The 18,180-nt window shown below is 40.4% G+C and overlaps 1 protein-coding gene across 13 annotated transcripts in view, besides 1 other annotated feature; it reads right to left on the reverse strand.

Annotated features, from left to right (window-relative positions):
- The window catches only part of GAB3 (GRB2 associated binding protein 3), a 76,318-nt gene that overhangs the window by 53,920 nt on the left and 4,218 nt on the right, over nt 1-18,180 (reverse strand). The window lies entirely within an intron of this gene.
- Nucleotides 1,586-1,880: a silencer, noted in NCBI's record as "tiled region #13577; K562 Repressive DNase matched - State 15:Elon". NCBI's record gives its function as "represses a minimal TATA promoter and a strong SV40 promoter by Sharpr-MPRA in K562 cells {active_cell/tissue: K562}" and the evidence as "EXISTENCE:reporter gene assay evidence [ECO:0000049][PMID:27701403]".

Here is an 18,180-nt window from a genome sequence, read left to right on the forward strand (position 1 = left end):
CAAAAAGACACTCAATCCAAAGGAAATTTTAAAAGTGCAGAAAAAGAAACCTAGAAAAGATAGGGCAAATAAAAAGCACAATAAGATGCTTGACTTTAATCCAAAGGCACCCATGATTACTTTAAATGTAAATGGACTCAATGCTCTTGTGAAAAGACATTTATCCAATGCCTACTGTGAACCAAGCCCGGTTGGTTGCAAGGGAAACAGCGAAGAATATGACCCAGGCCCTGCTCCTATGATGCTCGGTGCAATGAACCAAGAACTGGGCCAAATGCTGTTAATGAGTGCCACCTGGATGAGTTCGTAACTGCCAGAGGTTTGGAGTGACGGAAGATGAAGCTAGAGATGTGGCAGTAGCAGACAAGTTGCAAGGAGAATTAACAGGACTGGGTCACCAAATGCATGTGGGCCACCAGGGAGAGGAAAGGATTCAGACTGAATCACAGGGTTCTGGTTTGCAATTAGCAGATAATACTATTGTGTAACATGCTATCAGGGCCTCATGGAACAAGGGCAAATGAGCTTTCACTGATGACATTTCTTTCTCCTACAAGTTTTTATCAATTGACATTCCTAATCTCGTGCAGTGGTCAGGGCAGCTACTACCCTAACTTTCCAGAAAAAGAAACTGGTACTCAGACAGATGAAGTGGCTTTCTCACTGAGTAACAGTGAATCTGAACCCATGGCTCCCCCATTCAGTGTTCAACAACATTGTTTCAAATTATTTGAAATTAAAGAAGAGAGAAAACAGAGCCACAGTAAGGAGAGGGTATGTGCCCGTTCAAGTTGGTTGATGACCCTTCAAGATAGCTTAGAACTTTACCAGGCAAGTTTTCAAGCTGGTTGCTCCTGCCACGCTCTGCAGTTTGCTGTGGGGGTATCTGCAGGGAAACAGTCATGTGCTAGAGCACTTTGGGCACTGTTCTATCACATGGAACTGTCAAAGTTATTTCCTCTGATTTAGCTCTGTATTGCAAAGTTGGATATTTCTGTCCCTTCATGTGCAAACATTCTTTGGAGTCCAGAAGACACAGAGGAAAAGAAGGAAAGAGGAATAAGAATTGCTCTTGTCTGATTTACTGACTTTTCATTTCCTTTGACACCCTTCCTCACCCCTGTTCCTCTGACTATGGACAACTTTCCCCTACCGTGTTTTTCTTGTTCTTGTGTTGCTATTGACATATACTTAGTAGATTCTAGTTACTGTTTAGAAAACCTAACAACTCAATTACTGACTGCCACTTGCAAGGCCCCTAGGAATTTTGGATGTGGTCCCAGAACATGAAATGAAATAAAGCATTTGGTAACAACTTAGAGATTTTTGGTAACCTCCCAAGACCTGCTCCTCTAAGCTGATCTCCCGTTCTCTGCCCAGTAGCTACACCTTGAACGCACTCACGAGGCTGGGGGTTGTTTATGTGTTGCAAAAGGTAAGCATCATTAAAGAAACAGAAATCTGGTTAATTTTCTATTTTCTGCTGAGCTTTACTCAAGAGGGCCCTTTCCCTCCACCTTCTACTTCCTTGCCAAGGGGGGCCACAAAGGTTGGGAGTTTCCAGGAGCAGGTTACACACTTCTCCTCTCTATCCTGGCTCAATGCCACTAGCCCTGGGATTGCCGGTGACCTTTCAGCCTGATGGCCTGTAACCTTCTGCTCCCTGCCAGATAGAGTTGGGACTTGTCCAAGGCGTGGAATAACTTCCTGTGATTGTCCTGAAGATGGCCTGGCCCACAGGATCTGCTTCTATAGCTTGTCAACAGAAGCAGAAAAGTCCTGTATCTCTACAGTATGGTGGGCCTTGGAAGGGAGAATCCTGAGGAGAAATGTTCAGCAAAGATAAGTACACCAAGAGGTCTGTGTTCAAGTACATACATGACATGGACTTGACCTTCCTCATGTATTGTCAACCAAAGTGCCACTGAATATCCTGGCCAGTTTCTCATTATTTCTTGTGTGGCAGAATCTTTGAGGTCATTAAGACCAGCTAATCAAATCTGCAAGTGTTTACAAACCTGGGAGGGTCACTAATATGTTAGGTCAGGATCAGGATGCAAAATTACGGGTTGAAACCATGGGCCAAAACCAACTCAGGAATAAAGTTATTTTAAACTCTGGTAAGTTCTGTGATACATTAAGTGTCTGAGGTGCAGTGGAGGTAATCAAGTCTGGATGGAGAATCAAGGAAGGTGCAATATAGAGGAAGTGACGGCGCAGCTGAACTCACCAGTTGTGTGAGACCAATGTGGTTGAGGGGAGGCTCTTCTAAGCAGAGGTACTTGCAAAACATTAAGAATAACTCCAAAGTGTTAGGTATAATTAGTGGTGATGGTTACACAACATTATGAAGGTACAGTAGTTAATGCCACTGAACTGTCCCCTTACGCGTGATTAAAATGGTCAATATTATGTTATGCATCTTTTCCCACAAGAAAAGTAATGAAAAATGTTACCCTCACACCCATGGGTGTCCGCTAGGGACATTCCCCATTGCCCAAGCTGAGTGCACAGGTGTGGTGGCTCCTGGGATTGTCTCTAAAGGAGTCCATTAACAATGAGAAGATATCAGTACCAGAGTCACAGACAAACATGAAGTAACACAGATCCCTCAAAATATGCAATAGCAATATTAATAGCTAACACGTATATCCCAGGAATTATTCTAAATGCTTTAAATTAAATTAAATCATTTGACGCTCACACAGACCCCATGTGAGTGAATACTCTTTTTAGGGCATTCTATACATATGCAGAAACTGAGGCACACAGAGGTTGAGCAAGTTGCGGTCGGGCAAGAGCGAATATGTAGCAGAGGTGGCCATGAAATCAGATCGTCTGCTTCGGTCTGGTTCCTAATCACAGACTATGTGTGATGTCGAGAAGCTGTCATCCGCTGACTAGAGCTATGTAGGTCAAAGAGCTTAGCACATCAGAAGAGTGAGCAGTGGGTGAGGAGTCAAAGAGGAACCTCATTCCACATGAAGAAAAGCATGAGCTGAATGACTGGGATTGTGGAAGAGTGTGTATTCAGGTTAAAAGGTCTAGGAGAGGAGAAAAATACAACATCATTTTGTAAAAATGAGCTCATAGTCTAGCAAGAGGTCCTCCTATTTTTTTTCCTAAAATACATGAATTTGGAAAGCATTCAGAAAACCTTGTATCTGGTGTTATCGGACATAATATAATCTGACGTTTAATACTGAAGAAAGTCTTTCTCAAATGTCCCAACAGTGCCTGGTGCCTAACAGGGACTCAGTAAATCTTGTTGAATTAATTAATGAATCTCTATCTCATTCCACATATAATAAAAATAAATTCTTCCTGGATTAAACATTTACATTGAAATAAAGAAACTGACAGTACTGAAAAAATAGAGGTGGACACTTACGTAATACTGGCAGCTGGGAAGGCTTTCTAACCATATATGAATTCCTAAAAAGTAGAAATGCTTGAAACACCTAAGTGTTGTGTGTGAGTCTAAGGGTGAGAGGGAAGAAAAGAGATGACAGGGGAAGGAGTGAGCCGTTCTAGAAAGGGTCCCAGCACCCCAGGGTCAGTGGGAAACCCAGCAGTCAGCTACAGCCCCAAATGAATTTTTTCAGGGTGGTTCATCAGTTCTAAGTACTCCTCTGGCTGGAGGAAGTTGCCAAAACCACCTCCGAGCCCCCGGCCAGCACATAACCTTGAGTCAATAGAAGCTGCTCCATCAGAGACCACAGGGCACCAGTGTTTACTTAAGCTCCTGTCTCAGCGTGGGAGAAGTTAAGACCCCAGAGGGCATCTGCCTGCTGACTTATCCCCAGGTACTTGGAGAGGAAAAGAACACTCTCAATTTCAACTTGGTTTCATTACTTGCTTGGCTCAAAGCACATCTGCTAGAAGGAAGAACTCTTTATTGCTTACAGTTCCAGACAAACTCTTGGCCTCTTCACTGTTGACCCAAATGCCCTTTCTTTCCTCCCAAGAATACATGTGCAAGTTAGGGTTCAGAAAATGTTTGCTGAATGAATCAGTGAGCACTGGTCCAGAATATGTCAATATGCACACTCAGATACAACAACACCAACCAGTCTCATTTGCAATTCAATGTATGCTATTTTTTATGTGTCACGTCCCTTTGTGAACTGCTGTGAACTGTCTGTGAACTGCTGTTCATGTATGTTGCCCATTTTCCAATTGTGATGCTGATCTTTTTCTAATCATTGATCAGGATTACTCATAAAAGTGAAGAATATGAACTCTTTGCTTGCCTCGTATGATGTGAAAAACTTTCGCATTTTGTCATTTGCCTTATAAGTTGGTATTGTTTTTGAAGTACCTAAAATAGTGTTCAGCATATAGGAGACACTCACTAGATTATTTGTTGGAGAACCGACTGAATAAATAAATGAGCAAAGAGATATGTTTTATTTTCATGTAGCAAAAATCCTTCTCTCCTCCTTTATGGTTTTTCCTCTGCTATCATGTTTAGAAAGGTTTTCCCAACCCCACGATCAGATTGAGATTCAATAACATTGTCCCTTCTAGAAATTATATTATTTCGTTTTCTTTACATTTAAATACAACATATATCTAGAATTTGTCTCTCATATCTGCGTTAAGTGAGATTGATCTACAATTTTCTTTTTTGTACCGTAAGCTCTTTACCTAATTTGGTATAAGGGTCATAGCTCAAGAGATCTCAAATCTAAAGACTTTCCGAGTCAGTTATCTGTCCTGGAGGTAATTATCTGACAATAACTTTCATCTCTTATATTTACTTACAATGTTGATCAGTCTAACATTTTAGGGGCTAACACTTTGAAGAGTGTACCTTTTTTTTGGCAAGGTGATGTTAGAATTCTCATTTGGTGTGAAAATTTGGGTGGGGTTAAATTACTGTTTAAACCTCAGTTTAACTTCTAATTACACTGTTCTCCTGGCCAAAGACCCTAAACCACTGATTTCTTGTTAGCACTAAAAGCCACAATGTAACAGACTGGCTTCTTGTGAAATAGGAACCAAATACTGCCAGAACTGGAAGCCTCTAACAGGAAGTCATGACTTAGTGGTGAAATAACTAAAGAAAAGGAGGGGACAGAAAAGCAGCCATTCCCCTTTGGGGGCCTAGCTGTCACTTTGCTGCTGTTGCCTTTTAGTAAGTAATAGCCAAAGCTTTAGCTTGGTCTAGAGCATGGTGACGTTCTTATGTGCAAAGAAGGCAAAATAGGCTGAATTACTTGGATAGAAATTCTCCAGTGAAAGGCTACAAATATGAGTAAGTCAAACAAATAATCACTGTGCAGAATGCTAATGTTGTAACAGAGGGAAGTCCAGGGCCTAAGAGGGAGGATGGGAAGGTTTTCGCCCACACACTTTGCAGGTCAGTGGGACGTTCTTACAAGGCTCTACTTGGCAGGAAGACACTGTGTTTTCAGGCACTGGGCACAACCCACAAGGGAAGGAACCCCGACTTTGATGTAGCACACTGCAGGCCCTGGGGAGACAGCGCTGAGCAAGGCGCTCAGGGAGGGAGACAGACAAGTAAACAGAGGGGCTGCTTTGCAAGGGAAGGAAACTGACTTTGATCGCTGTTTCCACTCTAACGCTTGCCCTTAGCTACAGAGACAGCAGATCTGGAGCCACCCCAGCCAAGGCTTCCCAGCATGCTTTGAGCACATCCAGTCTGACTGAAGTGGGGGCTAACCTCCTATTATGCGATCTGGAAGCCTTCTCCACTCCAAGATTATCAAAATATTTTCCTATGTTTTCTTTTAATCTTCTATGTTGAATTACACATAAATGTGTATGTAATAAACAAAGCACAAAAAGAGCTTCTATGAGACGTTAAGATAAATATGAATGACCTAATTAATAGAAAAACATGGGCAAAATATATGAATCAGTATTTCACAGAAAAAGAAACAGAAATGGCCCCAAACTATATATCCATATCTAATTTTAAATGAGACATCTTTGTATATAAGCCTGGCAAAAATGTTCAAACATGTGCAATGTATCTTAATGTCATTCTTCATAATAACTAAAAATCAGAAAGAAACTAAATATCTATCAAAAGGTTGAATAAATTATGGTATGAATAAGCAAACCACACACATAAGCCCCTCCACCCCAGTCTACGCTTATATTTTGGCAATCTCCGCACTCTCATGTGCTGTGATTATTTGAGTGCCATTCCCTTCATCCCATTTACAAGTCGGAGTGAAATGAAAAGTCTATAACTCCAAAAGCAAATTTTCAAAACAATTAAATGCAGACTGTTCACAAGACATCTTCCCAGAATGGAGCCCATGGGGGTAGTTGGGGCTTTCACATCTCAGTACATGGCAACTCTATCCTTCCAGCTGCTCAGGCCAAGACACTGGAATTCTCGACTCCTTTCTTTCTCTTGCATAGAATAACCAATCCATCAGAAAATCTTACCGGTTCTACCTTTAGAATATACCCCTCTCCACGCATCTCACCTGTATCACTGCACTAGCCCCTCACCTGGTCTCCCTGCTTCTGCCCTGGCCCCTACAGCTTGCAGGCAGCTGCCAGAGTGATCCTGTTACAATTCACATCAAATCATGTCAGTTCTGTTCTCAGAACCCTCTGGTGTCTTCCTCCCTTACTCAGACGAAAAGCCAAAGGCTAAAGTAAGGCCTCTACTCACATCACCACTCTGACCTCATTTGCTCCATTCCTTACTCCCTGGGCTGCAGCCAAGCTCACTGCTCTTGGAACATTCCAGGCGTGTTCCTGCTTCAGAGGCTGTACATTGTCCATCCCCTCCCATGATTAAGGAGTGGGGTATGCCATTCCCAGACACTTTCAGCTCTCTAACATGCAAGCAAAATGGTCTCTAGTAGGCCAATAGCAATCTCCCAAACAGGAGCTGCCGCTGTTGGAAGTGAAAGCCCCCCAAAGTGGGGGAAGAGGAGCACATCCTCCAATATCTTTCCGTGGTACTAGTACTAGCGGTGCTAGTAATACAATATGAATTGGTCACCTTTATTGGCTACTTATGAAGTGCATTACATATAACTCACTTCATCCTCACAACAAACCCATGACGCAGGACATTAGTCAACCTTGACAAGAGCAGTTTTGATGGAGTGGTGGAGTAAACACTTGATTAGGAGCGAATGAGAAATAGAATCTCACCATTTGTAATCCTTAATGAATTAATCAATTTAAGCATTAAGCATCAGTGGCTGCTACAATCACAAAAAGGGAGACAACCAGATACGATTTTCCTCCTAATGGAAGTACAATAATACCACCTAGGAAGAGTTCATTATATTATTCTCTCAGAAAATAACAACATATTTGAGTGCTGACTGTTATCATCTAGAGCCAAGTGGATCCACATACTGCCATCTTCCAATTTAAAAAGAGTAAAATGCTAGACTTGAAGTTTTCTTTCTGCTTTTCTGTGGTGTGTACGTATTTTGGTGCTAAGATCTTAAAGTCTTGTATCCGATTCACGGTAAAGGTTTAAGGTATTCATCAAATGCAGGGGCAGGGAGAATAAGCCAGGGTTGGACCTGAGTGACCTCTCTGCCATTTAGAGAGCTTGTCCCAAAGCATTTGGCCTGTGGAGGAACCAGTCCAAGGATTTTTCCTATTAAGACTTCTAACCTGTGCACTTTATCCTCAATCTCACAAATACCTATTGGCAGAACTCATCTAAAACACACACTTCAGGCCCTAAAGATGTAGTTAGCCCTTTGGAAAATTGTTGACTTCGAGTCCATCTCATCACTTGGTTGTATTTCTTTCTTTATCAGGCCTGGGTCTGATAGCCTGGGTCACTGGTTTTCTGGTTGACACTGCAAATGAATAAATACTTTCCTCCCATTTGTGTCTTTCACTTTTAACTACCATCTCATCTCCTTTCTCTTCCACTGCCACACTTCTTGCTGTCGTTGCTACCCATTTCTTCCTAAACCATTAATATTGGGAATCCACTTCACCAGAAAGACTCGGAAGCCCCACTTAGACTTCAGGCCCAAGTAGCTGTCTCCAATTCAGCTTTTTCAGTGATGAAACAGCTGTTTTGCATCCATCTTCCTTATCTTGTGCCCCTTGTCCATTCCTTCTCTGTGCCCTATCAGTCAGAGCCCTGGGAGGAAAGGCGGGTGACTGGCATTACCACTGCAAGGTATTTAGGGTTATCCATCGCCTCTAATGGTCTCTCCTCTTATCTCTTCTCAGTTTTGCTGACACTTTTCCTCTTACTCTCTAACTGCGGTATCTCCCAAAATTCTGCCCTAGGTCCTTTTCCTTCTTACTCATCACACCCTCCTTGGATAATCTCATCCACCCCGATAACTTTAACTACTTCCTATACCCCAGTAACCACCAAAACTCCATCTGGAGCCCAGGTCCCTCCCCTCAGCTCTAGACAAATTTACCCACGGTTACTTCAAACTCGGTATGTGCCAGCCTGAACGTACCAGTCTCACTGGCTTGCCCCCAAACTGGGTCTTTTCTCCCATGCTCTTGCTCACAGTGTTTGTATGACATAGTCAGTGTCCAGAAAGATGTGGCGTAAAAAATCAATTACAGGCCAGGCGCAGTGTAATCCCAGCACTTTGGGAGGCCGAGGCAGGAGGATGACCTGAGGTCAGGAGTTCGAGCCTGGGCAACATGGTGAAGCCCCGTCTCTACTAAAAATACAAAAATTAGCCGGGCATGGTGGCAGGCGCCAGTAATCCCAGCTTTTCAGGAGGCTGAGGCAGGAGAACTGCTTGAACCTGGGAGGTGGAGGTTGCAATGAGCTGAGATTGCACCACTGCACTCCAGCCTGGGCAACAGAGTGAGATCCTGTTTCAAAAAAATAAAAAAGAATCAATTACAAAAATAAATAAATAAAAGATGAAATTCAACAGTAATAATGTAGGTCCTGTTCCTGGGCTTAAGCAAAACAGCAATAGCACAAGAACAGACTGGAGAAAAGATAGCTTAGCTGAAACACAGAGGAAATCTAAGTCCGTTTGACAGGAAGCTCAGTGTGAGTCAACGGTGTGGCGTGGCTGCCAGAACAAAGCTAATGGAATCTCCAGCTGCTTTCTCAGAAGCACGATGTCCAGATGAGCAATGATGGTCCTGGAGGAGTTTATTTAGTTCTGGTACCAGTTCAGAGGAAATATACAGGACAGTGAGGGAACTCAGAACTCTGTTCTATCCTAAGGAATGACTGAGTAAGCTGGCAACATTTAGATTGGATATTTGCAGGGCTCTCAAATTGAAAAAGAATTAGAGGTGTTCTGTATATTCTAAGGAGGTTAACACCAGGACCAATTTCTTGCAGTCAGAACTATCACACGATTATTTGGGCAGCATATTATGTAACCGGTTTCCTGTCATTGGAAGTGTCCAGATAACAAATGGCTGGCAAAAATGTGGCCAGCATTGGAGTTGCTGTAATTCATCTTGGGCTAATCACCCTTCTCCTCGTCCCTACTCCTGTCAAGTTCAAAATCTTTAATTACGCCCTCTCTCACATACCTTATAATTAAGCAATCAACATTTCCCATTGATTATTTCTCTAAAATATTCTCATATTTTCCCTTCTGCTGCATTCACATTATTACCCTGGACTAAGTCGCCTTGCCTAGGAAAGATTTTTTTAAAAAGGATATCTTCAAATACCATCCCAATCAACCTGACTTCCAGAATCTAAGTGGCAATCTGGAGTAACATTGTCAGTTGTTTTGGCCACCCAGCATCTGCACCTTTTTCTATATTTGGGGAATTCCCAACTCCAGTTATAGAAGCAAGAAATGATGGATCCTTTCTTTTCCAGTCTCCATTACAATGAAGGTACAGATTCTGATCGTCTTTCCTGACAGTTTAACCTCAAGATTGCTTCGGCAGATCCCACAACAGTATTTTTTATCTGCCTAATTAAATCATCATCTAGTTACCTGAAATGACATGCCCACTAAAGATAAGGTTTTGAGGGAGTGGGGAGTGGGAGCCCAGTGTCAAAAATTAAAGTTTTTATTAAAGATATATGATTTAAAAAAACAAAGCTTCTCAGTACCATGCCCTGAAACTCATTAACAGAAGCTGCTTTTACATATTTACACCATACTTAAAGTATACTCACGTCATCCATGTGTATTGCAGCACTATTCACAATAGCCAAGCTACAGAATCAACCTAAGTGTCCATTAATGGATGAATGGAAAAAGAAAATGTAGTACATACACACAATGGAATACAATTCAGCCATAAAAAAGAATGAAATCCTGTCATTCACAGCAACACGGATGGAACTGGAGGTTATTATATTAAGTGAAATCAATAAAAGAAAAAAGATGAACTCTGGCCACTGACATGGAGACAATTCTAGGATAAATTTTTAAATGAACAGACTAATGTACAGAACATTGTGTATCTTTTGTGTAAGAAAAGGAGGAATAAGAAGCTGTATATGTATTTCCTTGTGTTCATATAAAGAAATACTGAAAAGATTAAAGAAAAAAATTAAAAAATGGTTATTTGGGGGTAAGGGTAAATAGGGTGGATGAAGACAGAGGTGGAAGAAGTTTTCATCAAACATTTAAAATATATTTTTTAATTTTTGAAACATGACTGCATTACCTATTTGGTAGCAATTTTTAAAACTAAGTCAAAAGTAGAAGAATTGACAGGAAGATCAACAAAACTGCCCCAAAACAGACCCAATGAAGGATTTAAGATTTAGGTTACATTTAAGATAATTTTCTAGAAACAGAAATATAAATGGCTTTTATACTTGAAGAGATGTTCAACCTCACTCACAAAGAAATTTAATTAAAACAAGATACCATTTATCATCTATTGATTTTTCAAAGATAAAAACATTTAACAGTACACTGTATTTGAGGACAAGCACTTTCATACTCTGTTGCTGAGAGTAAAAATTGGCATTATACGTTTACATGCACTTCAACTCAGCAATTCAACTTCTAAGAGTTTTTTTTACAAGCATAATTGCACATAACCACAAAGACCAATGTACAAAGATATTTACCACAGTATTGTTTACAGCAGCATGAGACTGGAAACAAGAGAAGTTCTATCATAGTATCTCCACATAGTGAAATATTATGAAGCTGTTATGGACTGATATGGACCAATCTCCAAAATACATTACTAAGAAAGGAGGTTACAAAATAGTGAGTATAGTGTGCTACCATTTGTGCAAAAAATGGGGAAGTATATGTGCTTGTATATGCATGGAATATATCTGAAAAGAAAATCAAGAAACTTGTCTCAGAAAAGAAATATAAGGGTTCTCCGCTTCTAGGAATGTAAAAAGATGCAAAGAACATCCTTCCCACTATGACGAGAAAAGCTGGACAAAACACAAAATCTTCATTTTCTTGAGCCCATCAGAGAGTGGAGGTCACAAGGCGCCCAAGTGATCTGACTTCCACAGAGGGATGACAATCCCTTCCCACGGTATATAGGACTCATGGAGGAGATCCCTCCCTTAGTGGTGATCCTAAGCACAGAGACTTCCAGTTGCTGAGGTAGCCCACGACCCAGAAAACAAGCTACCTGTATAGCCAACCCAGGTCCCTGGCCTTCCTCTTCACCATAACAGGAAAGAATTAAAGTAGATATCTATCAACAGAATTCTCACTTAAGCTGAAGGAATTCACTGTTCAATCTGGAACAGAATTTCTCCCTCTTGGCACCACTTGGACCCATTTGGGCCAAATTCATTGTGGTGGAGGACCGTCCTGTGCATTGCAGAACATTTAGCAGCATCCCTGGCCTCTACCTACTAGAGAATGCATCCACGGAGATATGGTTTGGCTGTGTCTCCATGCAAACTTCATCTTGAATTGTAGCTCCTATACTATAATTCCCACATGTTGTGGGAGGGACCAGTGGGAGATAACTGAATCATGGAGGCAGGTCTTTCCCATGCTATTCTCACGATAGCAAATAAGTCTCACAAGATCTGATGGTTTTATAAAGGGGAGTTTCCCTGCACAAGTTCTTTCTCTTGTCTGCTGCCATGTGAGACGTGCCTTTCACCTTCCACCATGATTGTGAAGCCTCCGCCGCCACGTGGAACTTTGAGCCCATTAAACCTCTTTCTTTTGTAAATTGCCCAGTCTCTGGTATGTCTGTATTAGCAGTGTGAAAACAGACTAATATATGTGGTGTATTAGTCCGTTCTCACACTGCCATGAAGACATACCCAAGACTGGGTAATTTATAAAGGAAAAAGGTTGGGCCGGGCATGGTGGCTCACACCTGTAATCCCAGCACTTTGGGAGGCCGAGGCGGGTGGATCACGAGGTCAGGAGTTCAAGACCAGCCTAGCCAACATGGTGAAACCCCATCTCTGCTAAAAATACAGAAATGAGCCGGGTGCAGTGGCAGGCGCCTGTAATCCCAGCTACTCGGGAGGCTGAGGCAGGAGAATTGTTTGAACCTGGGAGGCGGAGCTTGCCGTGAGCCGAGGTCATGTCACTGCACTCTAGCCTGGGCAACAGAGCAAGACTCCATCTCAAAAAAAAAAAAAAAAAAAAAGGAAAAGAGGAAAAGGTTTAATTGACTCACAGTTCCACATTGCTGGGGAGGCCTCAGGAAATGTACAATCATGGCAGAAGGCAAAGGAGAAACAGGTACCCTCTTCACAGGGCAGCAGGATGAAGTGAGTGCAAGCAGGGGAAATGCCAGACCTTTATAAAACCATCATATCTCGTGAGATTCACTCGATAGCATGAGAAGCATGGGGGAAACTGCCCCCATAATCTGATTATCAATTACCTCCACTTGGTCCTGCCCTTGACATGTGGGGATTATGGGGATTACAATTCAAGGTGAGATTTGGGTGGAAACACAGAGCCAAACCATATCTCGTGGGTTCCATCAACCATAGGTTCAACCAACCACAAATTGAAATTAGAAGTAAAAAACAGAAAGATATCTAGGTAATTCCCAAATATTTGGAAATTACACAATACATTTCTAAATAACCCGCAGGTCACAGAAAAAAACTACAAGGGAAATTAGAAGATATCTTGAAGTGAATAAAACCAAAAATACAACATATCACCAGAATTTGTGGAATGCCATTAAAGCAGTGCCAAGGGGGAAATTTGTAGCACTAAATGTCTATGCAGTTGATCCTCAACTTACAGTGGAGTTACATCCCAAGAAACCCATCATAAGTTGAATATACCCTAAGTCAAAAATGCATTTAATACACCTAACCTATTGAACTTCATAGCTTAGCCTAGCCTACCTTACATGTGCTCAGAACACTTACATTAGCCTACAGTTGGGCAAAATCATCTCACACAAAGCCTATTTTATAATAGTTATAAGGAATTTTGAATCAAAATTCAAAATTTGAAGTATAGTTTCTACTAATGAGTGTTGCTTTCATGCCATCGTAAAGCAAAAAAAGTCATAAGTCAAACCATCGTAAGTCAGGAACCATCTGTATTAGAAAATAAGAAAGATCTCATATCAATGGCCACAGCTTCTACTTTAAATGAATTTCAGAAAGTACACTGGCTGCTGTGGGGTCAATGCTAAGGGAAAGAAGCCAGACATAAAAGGACCACATAGTCTATCATTCCACTTATATGAAATTTCCAGAAAAGGCAAATCTATAGAGACAGAAAGCAGATCAGTTGCTGCCTGGGGCTAGAGATAGGAGTGAGGAGTGACTGCAAATAGGCTAAGGGAATTTTTTGTGGGGATAGAAATGGTCTAAAGCTAGACCACAGTGATGGTTGCATAACTGTATAAATTTACTCAAAGTCAACCAACTGTACACTTATGATGGGTGAATTCTATAGTGTGTGTACATATATATATATATATATATATATGTACACACACATACACACACACATACCTCAATAAAGCTGTCTTTAAAAACCACTGAAATCTGTGGAATGGGTTCCCAGGATGTTAAGCCAAGGAAGACAGAATATAATATTGGATCAAGCTAAATGTATTAATGTGTGTGTGTGTGTATTTCCTGATTGATAAAGTGACATCTTTAAGGTGCTGAAAAGAAAAACAAAACAAAACAAAACAAAATTTTTAAACTGTCAACCCATAATTCTATGCCCAGTGAAAATATTTTTTAAAATGAGGGAGAAATAGACTTTCTCAGACAAACAAAACAGAGAAGTCACTGCCAGCAGACCTAAACTACATGAAATGCTGAAGGAAGTTCTTCAGGCAGAAGGAATATGATAGCAGACAGAAACTTGAACCTACATAAAGAAATGAAGAGTGACGGAAATGGAATAAATAAAAGAAAAATAAAAGTTTAGTTTTTTCTCTTTGTTTTAATTGACTGAAAAGATAACTGGTTGTCTAAAGCAAAATTAGTAGTAGTGTATCATACGTTTATAGCACATGTAAAAGTAAAATGCATGACAACAGCACAAAGAATATAAGAATGGAATTGGGAATATACTATTCCAATGTCCTTATACTACTAATATTATAATGATATAATATTATTTAAAGGAAGTCTGCAACTAATTAAAGATGTATAATTTACACTCCAGGGTAACTGCAAAAATATGAAGTTATGAAATGTAAGTTAACAATGGAGATAAAATGGAATAATAAAAAAGGCTCTATTAGCCCAAGAGAAGGCAGAAACTGAGGAGAAAAGAAACAAAGAACAGATAGAACAAATGAATAACAGCTAGCAAGATGGTGTATTTTAATATAAACATTTCAATAATCATACTTTATGTGAATGAACTAAATATGCCAATTAAAACAAGGTGAGAGGCTGGGTGTGGTGGCTCACACCTGTAATCCCAGCACTTTGGGAGGCCAAGACAGGCGGATCACGAGGTCAAGAGATCGAGATCATCCTGGCCAACATGGTGAAACCCCATCTCTACTAAAAATACAAAAATTAGCCAGATGTGGTGGCGCGTGCCTGTAATCCCAGCTACTCAGGAGGCTGAGGCAGGAGAACTTTGTGAACCCAGGAGGCGGGGGTTGCAGTGAGCCGAGATCGTGCCACTGCACTCCAGCCTGGTGACAGAGTGAGATTCCATCTCAAAAAAAAAAAAAAAAAAAAAAAAAAAAAGGCGTTAAAAAGCAAGACCCAACTCTATGCTGTATATAAGAAACCTACATCAAATATAGACACAGAGAGGTTAGAAGTAAAAGAATGGAAAAAGATACACCGTGCAAGCACATATCAAAAGAAAGCTATTATCAAAAAGACAATAGAAAGAAGAAAATAGACTTCAAAACAAGGAATAGCATCAGGGACAAAGCAAGACATTAAATAATGAAAAAGGCTTCTATTCCCCAAGAAAACATAGTAGTTCCAAATGTGTATAACTAGAAATGGAGCATCAAAATATGTGAAGTAAAAACAAATAGAACTGGAGGTAGAAATGTGGACACTGTGGACAAATCTACAATTACAGATAGAAACTTTCACATTCCTCCCTCAGTAACTGAGAGTAAAAGTGAACAGAAAATCAGTAAGGATACAGAAGAACTGAATAACATTATCAACCAACCTGGCCTAATTAACATTTATAGAACACTTTACCCAATGACAGAAGAATACATATTTTTTCAAGTGCTTATGTACATGAAGTGAAACTATATTGTGGGCCATGATATACATTTAACAAATTTTAAAGAATATAAATCATATAGAGTTTGTTCTTAGATCATAATGGAATTTAACTAGAAATTAATAATAGAAAGATATCTAGAAATTCCAATATTGGGAAATTACATAAACTTCCAGAAAACCCTTGGATCAAAGAGGAAATCTCAGGGGAAAATTAAATAATACTTTGAAATGAATTAAAATGAAAATGCAACATATCCAATTTTGTGGGATGCACCTAAAGTAGTGCTTAGAAGGAAGATTGGCCAGGTGTGGTGGCTCACGCCTGTAATCCCAGCACTTTGGGAGGCCAAGGTGGGCTGGATCACTTGAGGTCAAGAGTTCAAGACCAGCCTGGCCAATATGGTGAAACCGCATCTCTACTAAAAATTCAAAAATTAGCCAGGCATGGTGGCAGGTGCCTGTAATCCCACCTACTCAGGAGGCTGAGGCAGGAGAATTGCTTGAACCCAGGAGGCAGAGGTTGCAGTGAGCTAAGATTGTGTCACTGCACTCCAGCCTGGGTGACAATGCGAGACTCAGTCTCAGAAAAAAAAAAAAAGGAAGATTATAGCACTAAATGCTTATATTAGAAAATAAGAAAGGTCTCAAATCAGTAATTTAAGTTTCCTCCCTAAGGAACTAGATAAAGAAGTGATTAAATTAAACCCAATGCAATCAAAAGGAGGAAAATAATAAAGATAAGAGGATAAATTAATGAAATTGAAAGCAGGGAGAAAGTAGAGAAAATAAACGAAACCAAAGGATGGTTCCTAAAAACTAATGTAATAAATGAAAACTGAGGCATCACTACAAATCATACAGGCATTTAAAGGATAATAAGGGAACATAATGAACAACTTTCTGCCAATAAATTCAAGAACTTAGACAAAATAGAGAAAAGCCTTGAAAGACACTAACGACACTCATTCAAGAAGATATGGATAACCCACATAGCCCTATATCTATTAAAGAAATAAAATTTGGCCAGGCCCAGTGGCTCACACCTGTAATCCTAGCACTTTGGGAGGCCGAAGCGGGTGGATCACCTGAGGTCAGGAGTTCGAGACCAGCCTGGCCAACATGGCAAAACCCTGTCTCTACTAAAAATACAAAAATTAGCCAGGCATGGTGGTGGGCACCTGTAATCCCAGCTACCCGGGAGGCTGAAGCTGGAGAATCTCTTGAACCCAGGAGGTGGAGGTTGCAGCGAGCCAAGATCGTGCCACTGCACTTCAGCCTGGGTGACAAGAGTGAAACTCCATCTCAAAAAAAAAAAAAAAAAAAAGAAAGAAAGAAAATTTGTAGTTGATAGCCTTCCCAAAAAGAAAAGTATAGGCCCAGATGTTTTCAATGGTGAGTTCTACCAATCATTTAAGGAAGAAGGAATACCAATTCTACACAACATCTTTCAGAAAATACAAGAGGAGGGAGAACTTCTGATTTCATTTTATGATGCCAGCATTATGCTAATATCAAAACCAAAGATAGCATAAAAAAGGAAAACTGCAGACCGATATCCCTCATGGACAGAGACAAATATCTTCAGCCAAACTATCAGCAAAGCAAATCCAGAAATATATGAAAAGAATAATATGTTACAACCAACTGAAGTTTATCCCATAAGTTCGAGGTTGGTTCAACATTTAAAATCAAGCAGTGTAATTCACCATAGTAACAGACTAAAAAATAAAAAACATATCATCATTTTTATAGATGCAGGAAACACAACAAAATCCAACTCATGAGAAGAAGCCTCAGCAAACTAGCAAGATGGGGGAGCTTCCTCAATTTGGTAAAAGGTGCCTACAAAAAGCCTACAGCTAACATACTTAAAAGGTGAAAAATGGAATGCTTTCCCTCTAAAATCAAGAAAAAGTCAAGGATGTCTGCTCTCGTCATTTCTATGCAACATTTATAGTATTGCAGGTTGCAACTACAGACAAGGCTATTAGAACTAATAAGTGAGTTTAGCAAGGCTATGGGATATGAGGTCAGTGAAATCAATTGACAAACCAATCCTAAAATTGCCATAGAAAAACAAAGGACCTAAAATAGCCAAAACAACTCTGAGAAAGAAAAAGTTTGAGGGCTAAAATAACCTGATTTCAAGAATTATTGTAAAGCTACAGTCATTAGTCATTAAACAGCATGTTGTTGGCATAAAACAAATAGATCAATGGAACAGACTAGAGAATCCAGAAATAGATCTACATGGATATGGTAAATGGATTTTTTTTTAGATAGTTTTGCTCTTGTCGCCCAGGCTGGAGTGCAATGGTGTGATCTCAGCTCACTGCAACCTCCACCTCTGGGGTTCAAGCAATTCTCCTGTCTCAGCCTCCCAAGTAGCTGGGATTACAGGTGCCCACCACCATGCCTGGCTAATTTTTTTTGTGTTTTTAGTAGAGACAGAGTTTCACCATGTTGGCCAGGCTGGTCTTGAACTCCTGACCTCAGGAGATCCTCCAGCCTCAGCCTCCCAAAGTGCTGGGATTATAGGCGTGAGCCACTGTGCCCTTCAGGTAAATTGGTTTTTGATGATGTTTCAAAAGTAAATCAAT

The sequence above is a fragment of the Homo sapiens genome, chromosome X (assembly GCF_000001405.40).
Source record: "Homo sapiens chromosome X, GRCh38.p14 Primary Assembly".
NCBI lineage: Eukaryota > Metazoa > Chordata > Mammalia > Primates > Hominidae > Homo > Homo sapiens.